Raw genomic sequence first — 15,000 nt, forward strand, 5'->3', positions numbered from 1 at the left:
CCTATACCTGTGATTTTGGAAGAGTCCTACAGGGGGATATTTTCCTTGGTGGAAACAGTCTTGGCCTATTGCAATATTTCTCATATACACTCATATCTGAAACAGAAGTTCCATAAAACAGTACTCACTCTTTTGAACCCTAAATGTTCAAACAGGGAAAACCTAAGGGGCATCCTGGCTTTATGAGAAACAAATTTATTTCTCAAAGTACTGAAGACTGGGAGTCAAAGAACAGGGCACTGAAAGATTTGGTGTCTGGTAAGGACCTGCTTCGTGGTTCATAGACGGCATCTTCTAGTCGTATCCTCACATGGCGAAAGGGGTGAGGGAGCTCTCTAGGATGTTTTTTATAAGACCCCTGTATTCGTCTGTTTTCACACTGCTATAGAGAAATACCTGAGACTGGGTAATTTATAAAGGAAAGAAGTTTAATTGACTTACAGTTCCACATAGCTGAGGAGGCCTCAGGAAACATACAATCATGGTAGAAGGTGAAGGGGAAGGAAAATACATCTTACATGGCAGCAGGAGGTGGGGGAGGAGGAAGTGCCACACTTTTAAACCATCAGATCTTGTGAGAACTCACTCACTATCACCAGAACATCATGGGGGGAACCGCCGCCATGATCCAATCACCACCCACCAGGTCCCTCCCTAGCACATGGGGATTACAACTCGAGATGAGATTTGGGTGGGAACATACAGCCAAACCATATCAGCCCCTAACCCCACTCATGACCTCAGAATCTCCCAAAGGCCCCACCTCCAAATACGATCACACTGGGGAGTAGGTTTTAACATATGAATTTTGGGGGGACATAAACATTCAGTCTATAGCAGTGGTCCACTAATCAGTAGTTGTTTTCATTTAAAAAACACTGGTCTATGGTATTCTTTTTAGAACATTGAGAGTTAAGAAGAGTTTTGTGTGCTGGTCTGGGACTCTAGCCATCATTTACAACACTGTTTCATTGGGAAAATACATTCTTATGTCCAAACAGCTAGATTAGAATTCAATTTGCAGAACTCAATCCGTCTGTAAACTGGGGACTGCCAAGGTCTAAATCAGGAACATTTTTATATTAGGAGTTCACTTAGAAGAAAAACAAGGAAAAGCTGACAACCAGCTTTCCTAAAGTAATTCCAATACACTTGCCTACTTGGGAATAGAGCTTACTGGGAAGTAGTCAACCTTAGCATTTATGTAACTTCTTTTCCCTTTGCAAAAGGGCTTAATTTGAATTTCTGAAGACAGCACACTGGCAATTCATTTTCTCCATAACACATGGATTGGAAGCTACTTTAATGTAATTGCTACAAAATATAATTCTGCAGTTGCCTGAAGGGCTTTCTAAAATCCACCAGTTTTTGTTCCTACAGTTCCAGATGTGTTTTAGACAAAACCTTTCCCATTCTTCCCAGTCATGATGGAAAGAGTCAGGCATTTGAGGAAATATTTCCTCATGCACCCACGTTCATCACAGTGACCTTCAGGAACTTTTAGAATGTTATTAGGAATGACAGAGCCTGGCCTTATTTTTAGGGATTTTAAAACATTTTAAATCTATTTTATGACAACAGTTTGAACAACAGTCTAACCCAGTGAACTCTAAACCATGCCCATATCAGTAGTTATCCCCAGACTTATTTCAGAGACCCATAAATTAATCACTTAATACAATTATTTCAGAAAATATTTAGGTTTGAAAGTACATGGGTGTACCCTACTGATACATTTTGGCTGTGTCCCCACCCAAGTCTCATCTTGAATTGTAGCTCCCATAATCCCCATGTGTCATGGGAAGGACCCTATGGGAGATAATTGAATCATGGGGGCGGTTACCTCCATGGTGTTCTTGTGATAGTGAGTGAGTTCTTATGTGATCTGATGGTTTTATAAGGGGCCTTCCCCGACTTTACTCTACACCTCTCTTTGCTGCCACCAGTTGGTGGCAGCAACTGGGGAGTGCTGGCTGGCCTGGTGAAGAAGGACGTGTTTGCCTCCCTTTCCAACATGATTGTAAGTTTCCTGAGGCCTCCCCAGCCCTGCGGAACTATGAGTCAAGTAAACCTCTTTCCTTTATAAATTACCCAGTCTTGGGTATCTCTTCATAGCAGCGTGAGAACGGACTAATACACCTACCAATTTGTATTACTTTTTAAATGGTGAAATGGTACTGTCATCATTTACTTTTTTCTACCCCTCAAAAATAAAAAATAAATATCTCTTTAAGATAGTAAATGCAAGGATATATATATATTCTCTGTTTGGGGTTGCAACACTGAGAGATGCAAATCTACTGCTTGCCCATGAGCTGATGGATAATCCAGAAGGCTCTAAGCAAAATCCAAGGCCTTGCCTCAAGGAGTCCATATGCTTTAAATGTCCAAAAACTATATTTATTTCTGTCTTCTGTCCCAAGTCACTCTTGTGAGAAAGCAGTGAAAGATCCATGTATGATATGAGTGGTGCAAAGGAAATGTTCCAAGCATCTAAAATCCTCCTCTTGTTACTTTGCTAGACTTTTAGCATTTTAGACTGTGACTTTCTGTGAGTTTCCTAACTTGTCTATAAGCCTCGGTTTCATCATCTATAAATTAGAAATCAATGTATTCATATACGATGCATTTATATCTGATGGGGCTCTAAGAGGATTCAACTAGCTGATATCTGGGAAGTGCTTATAATAGTGTCTGGCACACTCTAAGCCACTCAATAAATGTTAATTTATTCCCTTAATATTTTGTTGTTGTTGTTCCAGATTCTAATTTTAAAATAAAATTTCGAAAAAGAATTTTTGGGGGCATCTAGTTCCAGATGGGGGACTGAGCACTGGTATTGGCTCACCATCCCTCACTCTGACCCTTTCTACCCCACTTCCCACTACATTAGAGATCCCAATCACATGGGAGCAAATCCATAGGAGCAAAGAGAATGGGAGAGAGACCCTTACTGGACACTGTGGTGAAGGAAAGACTGCTCTGACTAGTGAAGAGCCTCACCAGACCCCAGGATCACAAGAAGGTGAACTGGGCATCAACCAAGAGCATACAAAGGGAAGCATTGGCTAGGAACAGTCTTCTATGATTGGCAAAAAGAGTCATGACTTTGCATCTGCATTAAAGGATGATTATCCTAGCACACAGTGTAAAAACAGATTATTGACCAGGCACAGTGTGGCTCCTGCCTATAATTCCAGCACTTTGGGAGGTTGAGATGGGCAGATTGCTTGAGCCCAGGAGTTTAAGACCAGCCTGGGCAATATGGCAAGACTTCATCTCTACCCAAAGTACAAAAATTAGCCGGGCGTGGTGGCAAAGGCTTATAGTCCCAGGTACCCAGGTGGCTGAGGCTGAAGGATCACCTAAGCCTGGGAGGTCATTGCATCACTATGCTCCAGCCTGGGAGACAGAGTGAAACCTGTCTCAAAAGAAAAGAAAAAAAGATTATTGATGTCCAAACTTTAAGAATTCACCCATGAAAGATTTCAATATAATTTTAGAACAAAATGCAGTGTTACAAATCTTGACTTGCAGGTTATGTAGTACATTAAATAGAGTGGGGGCTGTGGTGCTAGGCAGTCTACATTTAAATCCCATCTCTATCTCACTGAGAGGACCCTGAAGACTGGAGGAAGTGAGGCATGTGCACATCTGGAGAAAATGTATTCCAGGCAGTGGGAACAAGAAGTACCAGGGACTTAAGGCAGGAGTAAACCTGGTGTGTTTGAGGAGCAGGCCTGTTTCTCAGCGGGAGAGAGGGATAATTTCTAAGGTCAGAGAGTGCCATGATTTACATGATTGTCCCCCTCCAAAACTAATGTTGAAGCTTAATTCCTAACGTGGCAGTATTGACAAGTGAGGCCTTTAAGTGGTAATTGAATCACGAGGGCTCTGCCCTTGTGAACGGAATCCATTCATGGAATAGTGGGTTAATGGATTAATGGGTTGCCACAGGAATGGGATTGGTATTTCTATAAGAAGGGGAAGAGACACGTGAGCTAGCGTGCTCAGCCTCCGCATCATCTGATGCTTTGTGTGGCCTCAGGACTTTGCAAAGAGTCTCCACCTGTAAGAAGGCTCTCACCTGATACACCCCTCAACCCTGGACTTCTCAGCCTCCATAACTATAAGAAATAAATCCCTTTTCTTTATAAATTACCTAGCTTCAGGTATTTTGTTATAAGCAACAGAAAATGGACTAATACAGAGAATATCTAGTAAAGAATCTAACCCTGCCCAAAAAAGAGACCTGGCCTTTGCCTTTGACTTCTGAGAGGTCATTCCTAAGCCTTTGGAATGTCATGCCTGATAGTAGTGTCTTTCTTTGTCTATGGTCTTGGGCCAAGGAACAATGTGGTTGGGCGTTGGGGATGCTTTGGGTCATGTGGTATTAGCTTGACCTCCTGAAGGGCTGGAACCAGATCAGCCACATGGGCAGTCAACTGTGCCTATGTGGTGGAGACCCAATAAACACACTGAACACCAAGGCTAATGTGAGCATCCCTGCTGGCAATACTTTGTGCATATTGTCACATATCGGGAGGATAAGGCTGTCCAGACTTTATTAGGAGAGGACAACACGAAGCTCTGCGTTTGGGACCCTCCAGTATTTCTGCCCTGTGTCTCTCTTCCTTTGGCTGATTTTAATCTGTATCCTTCCCTGTAATAAACTGTAACTCTGAATGTATCAGTTTTCAGTGAGTTTCGTGAGTCCTTCTAGTGAATTATCCAAACTGAGGGTGGTTTTGGAAAGTTTCCAAATTTGCAATTTGGTGTCAGAGTGAGACTGGACTTATATGGCCTGGCTTCCTCTAACTGTAGAATTATCTAAACTCCCGCAGAGAGGCAACAAGAAACCAGGTCATGTGGGGCCTTGCAGGGCATAATAAAGATTTTGTCTATTATTTTAAGAAAGATGAACCACTAGAAGTATCTGGGAAGTATCTGGGAAGAGGAAGGACTTGATATAACTAGAAGTGAACCACTAGAAGTATCTGGGAAGAGGAAGGACTTGATATAACTGAGATGTTAACAGGTCATTCTGGCTGCTGCATTGAGAAGATATTGAAAGTAATTAAGGTGATAACTGAAGGCAACTGAAGCAAAAAGCTATTTAGGAGGCCCTTGCAATGATCGGAGGGAGAGATGATGGTGGCTGGGACCCACGGGTAGAGATGAGGAATGGAAAGAAGAAGTCAAATGCTGGATATAAAGGTAGACCCAAAAGGCCTTGCTTTCAGATAGTCAAGGATAATGACAAGACTTTTGGCCTAAGTAACAGTAAGGACGGAGTTTCCATCATCTGAGATGAAGTAGACTGAGGGAAGAGCCAGTTTTCCGCGACGTCAAGATCTCAGGTTAGGATATGTTAAGTTTGAGATGTTTATTATATATACAGTTGGAGATGGCAGGTAGGTAATAGGATAATTGAGTCTGAAATACAGGGGAGAGACAGGCTGGCAATATTAACTTGGCAGGCATCAATCTACAGGTGATATTTAAAGCTGTGGAACTGTAGGAGGCCACCTATGCAGAAAGTACAGAATTAAAAAGAAAAGGCCTGAGAACTGAGTCCCTGGGCATGTCAATATCCAGAGGTCAGAAAGTTGAGAAGCAATCATCAATCAAAGTCATATTCACTTCCTAAGGTGTACTTGTAGCCATTAGAAAAACTAAAATAACATCAACACGAGACAGAGATAAGTAAATAAGCAATATTATTGATACATCAAGAAGTAGTATATTATTTAAACACATTCAAGGAGCCACCAGAATAACTAAAAATGAGAACTGTTAGAAGTGTTCGACTCTAGGAAATTGGCCTGGATGTGGAGTGGAAGGACTTTCACACTTTATTGTGAAATCTTCTGCATAACAACAACAAAATCCATGTGTGTGTAATTTTACTATGGTAAAAGGGAAATGAAATTAAACATTCTCCAGGTAGGAAAAATGGGTTTTCTGTGATGAAAGTAATCGTTACATAATTTGTGTAATCTATATGCCGCTGAAGTAATTCAACAGCAAATATTCCCCAGGTGGAATCTTCACCTTTGAAATTTTACATAACCCTGAAAATGCTTCTCCATACTTCTGCTATGTCCCTGGGAAACAGATTATACAAAGTAGAAACAATTATGGAACAACTCTGCAATTGCCACATTTTCTGCTCCAAAGGACTTAGTCTCTCCAGACTTCCAGAAACCACAGATTTTGGTCTCAGTACAGCTGACCCAGACACTCGAGCAAAAAAAGTTAAAGAGGTGCAAATTAAGAATGGGAGAAGAGGAAAGGGTTTTTTAAGTCTTTTGGGTTCATAGTGCCTATATAAGATCATAAGAAGAAAACAACCATATTAGCTATGATTAACTATAAGGCATTGGCCAGGCACAGTCAGTGGCTCACACCTGTAATCCCAGCACTTTGGGAGGCTGAGGCAGGAGAATCGCTTGAGCCCAGGATTTTAAGACCAGCCTGGGCAACCTAGACTCTGTCTCTACAGTAACTTAAAAAAAAAAAAAAAAATGAGCTGGGTGTGGTGGCACACACCTGTGGTCCCAGTGACCAGGGAGGCTGAGATAAGAGGATCACTTGAGCCCAGGAGGTCGAGGCTGTGGTGAGTTGCGAACTTGCCACTGTGCTTCAGCCTGGGCAACAGAGCGAGACCCTGTCTCAAAAAATCAAACAAACAAACAATGAGACATTGTCACACAAACCCAGCAGCACTCAAGAAGTCAGTGTGGCTTCTAGAGGCTGCTCATCACACAAGTGTAATACTTTTATAGAATATACAAAAAAGCAGGTGCATTAATATGCTAACAACCAGAAAATCCCTTTAGCATTAGCTAGGAGTCAGGCTAGGTTTTCCCTTTCGATTCAGATCTGAAGATCTAGTTGTCAAATAAGCAAGAAAATGCCAAACACCAAGTTCAGAATCGTGGTTAGAAAAGATCAGATAGAAATCTTCCAGATAGAGATAGAAAAGGCAAGAAGGTTGATGCAATGATATGGTCAATATTCCAGCTCTTAGGTAGCGGGTTCACAGGAATATATATTACTATATATGTCATAATTTTATATATAATATGTATTATTTTGTATTTATCACGTTACATAAAAATATTTTAATTTTGATTTTTATTATAAATTGATAATTTATAATTGTATGTATGTACAAAATGAGTAAAAAGTGATATTATGATTAATGAATACAATGTGGAATAATTAAATCAAGCTTGTTAATGTATCAATCATCTCAAATATGTAACATTTTTTAAAGTGAGAACATTTGAAATTTACTCCCTTGGCAATTCTGAAATGTACAATAAATATTATTAATGTATGAAAACATTTTTAAGGAAAGAAAATCAAATGACCTGAGCAAGACAAACTATTGTATTACCCTGCAATATTACTTCATTTCCTCAATAACCTTAAGTTATATCTTCCTTTTTTATCCATCTTCCAAGTTCTTCCACAAAGATTTCAATGCTTCAAAAAATACTGTGCAGGGGAAAAGCAAAGATTTAGAATCAAATCAACTCAAGTTCAGTTCCTGTGACTTCTAAATCTCTTGAGTCCAGTCTCAGCTACTAATTTGTGTTATTATAGCTACTTCTACTTCTTCCCTCATTTCACTTGTTCATGTGCATTGCCTTGATTGTGTCAACAGTTACCTTTGTTATCTTTCTCAGAAAGGCACCATCATCCTGCTAACCTGAGTTTGGAGAACTGTATATACTGTGGTCAGCACTGACCTCACAGGAACAATAATTGTTTCCACAAGGAATGCCACATTATCTTCCCAATGGGCAACTGCACGCACTCCCATGCCAAATCCTAGATGCTGGAAGCTCAGCATGGGCTGCCTTCTGGACCACCACGTGGCCAGCTGGCAGGGCTGACATGAAGGAGTGGGCTGGCTGACACTCAAAGACATGACTTGGAAGTCCAGAAGACTGTCAGAGAAAGAAGTCTATATGGTGACTCACACTGAGAGGCTCTATAAGGCAGTAAAATGCCCTTTCAAACTCAGGTCTCCATGATCCTTCCTGGAGGCTGACTCCAAAGATGAACACCAACAATTCCTCTCGACCCTGTAGATGCCTTTTGTGCCTCCATCAATAGGTGGACTCGATTTCCTCCTCCTGATTGGAGCTGGCCCTGTAATTTGCCTTAACTAACAGAACATGAGAGAAGTAACCTAGTGATAGCTCTGAGCTGAACCCATAAGGGGCCTGGAAGCTTCAGGTTTCACTCTCTCGGAACCTCGAGCCTTTATGTCAAGAGGTCCAGGTAGCCTGGTAGAGAGACCACATGGAGAGAGATTCTAGAAGTCTGAAAACTCAGGCTTCAGATCCTCCAGCCATCCCTGCTAGGAAGCTAGACACATGGCCACTCTAATCCAGCATGACCTCGTCTTAACTCATTACATCTGCAAAGACCCTCTTTCCAAATAAAAGGAGTTTTATTTGGAAAATTAAACCTCTGAGGTCACATTCTGAGGTTCTGCATAAACATAAACTTTGGGGAGACATTATCTAACCTAGTTCAAATGCTATCTTCAATGTTCCTGTCCCATTCAAGCCCCCAGGCCACTCCAGCTGCATGGGAAACTACACAAAGATGACTAGAACCACTCACACTGCAAAATCACAAGCAAATACATGGCTGTAGTTTTAAGCCACTAAACTTTGAGATGATTTGTTACAAAGTGGAAATAACCCAAACAGTCTTTTTGAGACATTAGAGAGATTTGACCAATCATCAACTTTAATTACTAATAAAATGCTAAAATACATAAATGAAACTACAGTAAAAGTATGAGAACGCTGAGGCCTTTGCAAAAAGTTGTTGGCACTTTCATAAGATGTCCTACATATTATTCATTACATTGTTTTTCTTCACCCAAGGGTTTCTGAGGGGTGATTTCCTGTCTAAAATGAGAAGGAAAATGGGGAGGGGAGAAGGCACATACAGGTCTGTGCCTCAAAATGACTGTAGAAGGCTGAGTAATATGGAAGGAATGTGAAATGCTCTGAACCAGGGAAAGAAAGTGTTGTTTGTTGTGAAGGACACTGGATTTTACCATAGTCAATAGCCCCTGAAAAAGAAAAAGGAAGGGACTGAATTGACATCTTAGTCTGCAACAATTAGAAGGTGAACAGACTTAAGGTGTAGGGAAAAAAGGGGGGATCTGGTCCTGACCATGGGTTCAATAATTCCACCCTCAACTCCTTTAGACAGAAGAGTTCAAGTCTCAGCCTTCAGCAAGTCTTAGATCAAATGGATGAAGAGTGTTGTCAATTTTCTGTAACAGCCTCCAAAAAATGTGCAGGATGAGAAATGGTAAATATTTGTCTCTTGTGACCCCAGAAACAGCGTGGGCTGACACAAAACTGTTGAGAGAGAAAATATAAAATGAGAAAACAAAATAGTCTCCCAAAAAAAGAGGTGACTAGAAAAATCTAAATTTTCTTTTCCATTTAATAACCATGAACATTGGGTAAGTTCCTTATGCAATTTGTGGTTTCAGATTCCTCATTTTTAAAAAGGGAATAATAATACCCTACTTCCCTCTGAAGGTCATTCTGAAAAGCAAATGCAATTATAAATGTGAAACCACTTTGAACAGTCCAAAAGTACATGCCAAAGATAAGGTTTCACTATTATTAGTCAGCATATATCGAAGCATGTTCACTGGGAAAACATTTTCTGCAGTGACAATTTCAAACGTGACTGATTAAAAGGAATTGCTAAAGAAATTTGCAGAACAGTAGCAATGAGGCAGCCATGATCTCCTTAACAGGATACTAAGCTCTAGTACTTCTGAATTCTCATTTCAATCCTGTCCAGGAATTTCAGAACTTTATTCTCCAAAATGCTTCCTCTCTCCCCTACCCTCATGTATTTACAACAATGATCATTATTTGCAATCTATAAACTTCCAGTTAACGTCCTCCAGGAAAACCACCTTCCTGAATCTCCACACCAGATTCAGCTGTCATCTCCTATTTACTCTCAAGTCCAACTGAGACCACTGCCAAGATGAAGCTGGTGTCTGGAGCGTATGTTTTCTCCTGGGGTCTTGATTACCAGTCAGTTTGGCATCTTACGAGATGATGGAAAGAGAAAAGACTGAATTTATTTTTCTGTGCCACTACAAAATCTCTTGACATTTGGCTTTCCAAGCAAACCTAAAAGAAATGAATTAAGTAATTAAATCCTGCTAACTACGTACAAGACAACTTCCAAACATTATTTCATGTCATCCTTACAAATGTCTCCTAATATTGATAATATTTTTTCCCATTTATATATAAAAGTTAAGGTCAAAGATCTTCAGTTACTTGCCTAAAGCTACAGAGCTAACATGCAATCAAGCCAGAACATGAACCCAGGTGGTCTGAATTCAGAATTCAACCTCTTGCTATTACACAATACAGTATCTTCCCTGGAACTTTCATGTAGAAATATAGAATTAATGGTGAAGCTTACTGGTTCCTCCCAAATTTAGTTTGTTGGCAGCCACATCACAATAGATAAGCATGCAAGCTGTGGCACATCTGTTGTTCTTTTGGTGGAAATTTAGTCATTCAGTTTTTACTTTAGCTATGTTATATAGGGCAGTTCTCCTTCTCCTCTCCTGCTTACCAAATTCATACTATTAGTTCTGTATTCAGTAATGAATTCTACAGTCATGGTTACGGTGAAAGTCTAAATTCTTAAGTGTGACATTCAAGACCCTCTATGAGCTGGCCCTCATACTTTCCTACCATCTCTCTCATTTTTCCTCATTTGCTGAAAGCGCTGGGTAAGTGTATTCATAATCACAACTTGTAGGTCCCCTGTCTACATATTTTCTTACGATGCACTTCTCATGTAGTATGGTGGTTCCCATCTAGAATTAATTATTGTCAATATTTCAAAAATCCTAATAGGAATTAAACAGTCACCTAGAATAATAATCTCATAGACTAACTAAAATATGAAGTTTCTTGACTTTTGGCCAAAAATGCTAACTCACTGTGAAATACTGATTATCTCATCTGATTAGAAACTCTGATTAACAGTAATGCATGGGTTTTTCTATCAAATTGAAAAGTGAAGTACCTCTTGATAAATGCAAATTTACTTATAATGACAAATCTTTTAAACAACAACATGGGGTGGAGGAGGGAATAGGTAATTTAAAAATTGTCCCTTGGTGATAGAAAGTTTAGGAACCAATTGACCTACTGTGGTCTTTATTCTAGCTTCAATTTTTAAATTAAAATTCTTTACGTTTTTTGGCATCTCAAATAAATTCTTCCTCCATGAAGTCTTCCCCTATATTATCAAGAAGAAGTCATCTCTCCTTGCTTTTTGATCCTATATTATGGTATATATGCTGTTCTCATAGCAATCTGCTTTCCTGTTTTGTTGGCTTTAAGATACTATCAATTATAATCTGTATCGTTATTTTATATACAACAAAGAAAGAGGAAACACTAACTACCAACTAAACTACAGCATATCATCTTGAATTTAAAATGTAAAAAAGTGCAAAAAATGTTACAGAATTGATGAGAAGCAACATGATGAGTAGTTTGCATTTCATTTCCCTTACTACATCTTTGAGAGCCTCATTTATTTCTGTTTCCTCAGGACCTTATACTATGCCTTACATGTGGTGTATATTCAATATGTGTATTATGTTGAATTATTAGCTTAGAACTGCCCCAAAAGACTTTCAAAACTCGGTGACATTAAGGCCCTTAATTTGTTTCTGTCTTTTGCATTCACTTATAGACAAGTCCCATCTATAAATTGGACTATAAAAAAGAAAGCATGGAATCCTAACAGACTCCTCATCTACATATCAGAAGTAAACATTTAAAAAATTTGTTAGTTTTCTCTTGTGCTTTTTATTCGGATAACTTGAAGTGCTATACAGAATATTCCCTATTTGCAACTCTTGAACAATTTATTTTAAAAAATTGGGGCAAGCAGGGAAGAGCATACAGGAGCAAAAAGAGAGAAGGAAAAGTCAATTCAAAACTGAAATCTCTTCTTTTTGTCCCTGGAAAACACCATGGGCTTAGTGGACCAATGGATGTTTGATTGGCTGGATGGGTGGAGGTTTGGATGGATGATTTGATTAACTATTACTACAATAGTGCTATGTAACCAACAACAACAAAACCTCAGTGCCATACAACAATTCACATTTATTTACTTCACATGGTTCAACTGGGCCCTCTGCTGATCTTGGCTGGACTCAGCCACATACATATATACAGGCCAGCTGGGAGGCTGCTGGTCTAGGTGGGGCTAAGCTAGGGCATCTAGGCTGAAGTCATTCTGCTCCACATGCCTTTCCTCTTCCTGGGAACAGAGATCTGGCCTGGACATGTTCTCATGGTAATTGGCAGAGCGTAGAAGAGCAAGCAGAAACATACTGGTCTTCATAAGACTGAGGCTAGGCTCAGAGCTGTGTGCACTGTCACTTTTGCCACATTCTATTGGCTGAAGCAAGTAACATAACCAAACTCAAGTCAAGAAGCAGGGAAATACATCCTGCCTCTTCAGAGGAGGACTTGCAAAGTCACATGGCAAAGGGCATATAGTTACAGGAAGGAGCAAAGAATTGGGGTCAATGATGCCATTCTACCCTGTATGGCAATGACGGTATCCTACACATAAATATTGATCTAGAGTTGACAAAGTATATTCACAAGTATTTTCTCATTTAATTTGAACAACTAAATGAGAAGGGCAGAGTAGATATAATTATTACAACTTTACTAAACAAAAAGCAGCGGAGAGGAGGTGGGAAAACTTAGAGAACTTAAGAAACTTGTCCAAGATATACACTATTAAGTGGACACGATGGAATTAAAATCCACATTACAGTAGTCATTTTGGGTTATCACTTACAGTTTCACTGTAGGCATAGAGTTTGTGTGCTTTTGGTAAAGGACTATGTCAATTCAGAACAATTCCTGATATTGGCCTTTATCTTTGGGAACAACCAACCACACCCAAAGTTCCTTGGATGTCAGCTCTGGCTGGCTTCTAGGCTACATATATAAGCACAAGTTGCTGCTTGTTTTTAGATAAATACATTAATTTGTGAAGAGATTGGGCTGGGTGTACCAAGAATGATGAAAAACCACATTGATGGCTGCACTGAAATGTAAACAGCATCACACACTGATAAACTGCTTATGGATTTTCTGTCTTCAACTGATTGGAAAATAGACTAGTTTGAGGTGATGAACTGTTAACATGTTGGAAGTAATTGGTTTAGTAAGAAAAAAGGTGTTAGTTTAGAAATATCAATATTGCTGCCCTCCTGGTAGATTAATATATAGTATAAACAGAACAAAATCAGAGCTCCCCAATGATCTGATAATTTATTATTTCATTTACCACCACATCCAGCTCACAAACATGACTCTCAGAGTATGTAGGTTTTTTCATCTCTACCAGAAACACTGTCACCTTGCTATTCAATTGCTGCCGTTTACATACAGAGTGTCAAAAAACACAATTACAACAAATTTAGCTTAAATATCTCAATTGGCTTTATTGTGATTCTAGAACAGGGCAACACTTCATTCCATAAAATAAAATAAGTGTTCCAGTGAACTGAACAGGGGAGGTTGGCTTTATATACATAAAAGGGGATGAAGAAAGGAAAAACAAAGAACGAAAATGAATTGGCCATTTCAAAGTTAATTTCCTTGCAAGGCAGGGATAGGGAGACAGAACAATCTGAGGGGTTAACAGCAGGTTACTTCGGGTCAGTCTGTTGTAAGGATTAAAACAGAGGGAATATCATTTTCATGCTGATTGAAGATTGAAACTCGTCTCTTTGGGAAATTGGGCTATCTCTCTCTTCTGATTTCTTGGAAGGCCAGATAACAACAACTCAGGGTGGGTTTGGTGAGCATGGGTGATTCCATCTTGATTTTTAGTCTGGTCTGTTGGAACCCAGTGCAGGAGTTTAGTCCAAAACAATGGCCTCGCATAGTTTTTATTTAATAAGAGGGAGGAAGCATGAAGGTCAAGGTCACCTAATGAAATAAAGATTGGGAGTAGAAATAGGAGGGATAATTGAAGTTCCCAGTAACTTTCTAATAATTATACCAATAACTCTTAGTCAACCTAGTCTTCAGTGGGAACCATCCTTGAGCCTCCTGCCAAACACACGCAAAGTTAGGACCCCTGTTAGGATCTCAGAGCATCCTACACTGTTCTTTTGTAGCACTGTGTCATTTGCAATGCACTGTTTATTCATATGACTATGATTATGAATTGTCACATCCTACTTAGACTGTTAGACTTATGAGGAGAAATCAGGACATTTCTGGTTCATCTCTTACATCCTAGGACCTAGAACAATGCCTCCTACATATTAGGCACTCTTCACATTCGCCAGATGAAAGACTGATTTAATGTCACCAGTTTTTATCACTTCTGCCTCCTTACAGCATGTTCTCCGTGACTCAGAATGGAGAGGGTATAGGAGAAAGCATGCTCTTGATCAGGTGCCCTGTCCCACTTTCTGAGGGTTTCTCCTCGTGAATAAAACACAGCTCTTTCTATTCTTTCCCATCTCTTGACACCAGCCTTCATGCTCTGTACTCCAGATGCATTGCCCTCCATTGCCCTTCTTTCAGTTCCTGAACCTGCAAGCCCACCAGCCCCTGGGTCACTGCACAAATAGCCCATCTGCCCTGAACACCAACTATGCACCCCCTCCTACCATTTAAATGACTCATCTCCCACCTGCAGGTCAAGCATTGCCTTAGGGAAGCCTTTATTGACTCCCCAGACTAGGTCAGGTGTCCCATGTCCCATCACAGTCTCTCACAGAATCACCTACTGCTCTCTTTGGTCGCAGAAACCACAGTTGCTATTTTTCATTTGTTTGTGCTCCATGAAGGCAGCAACCATCACAATTTTGCTTACCACCTAAACCCCTGAGTTTTGCTCACCATTTAACACTCA

Source organism: Homo sapiens, chromosome 18, assembly GCF_000001405.40.
Source record: "Homo sapiens chromosome 18, GRCh38.p14 Primary Assembly".
In the NCBI taxonomy this organism is placed as follows: domain Eukaryota; kingdom Metazoa; phylum Chordata; class Mammalia; order Primates; family Hominidae; genus Homo; species Homo sapiens.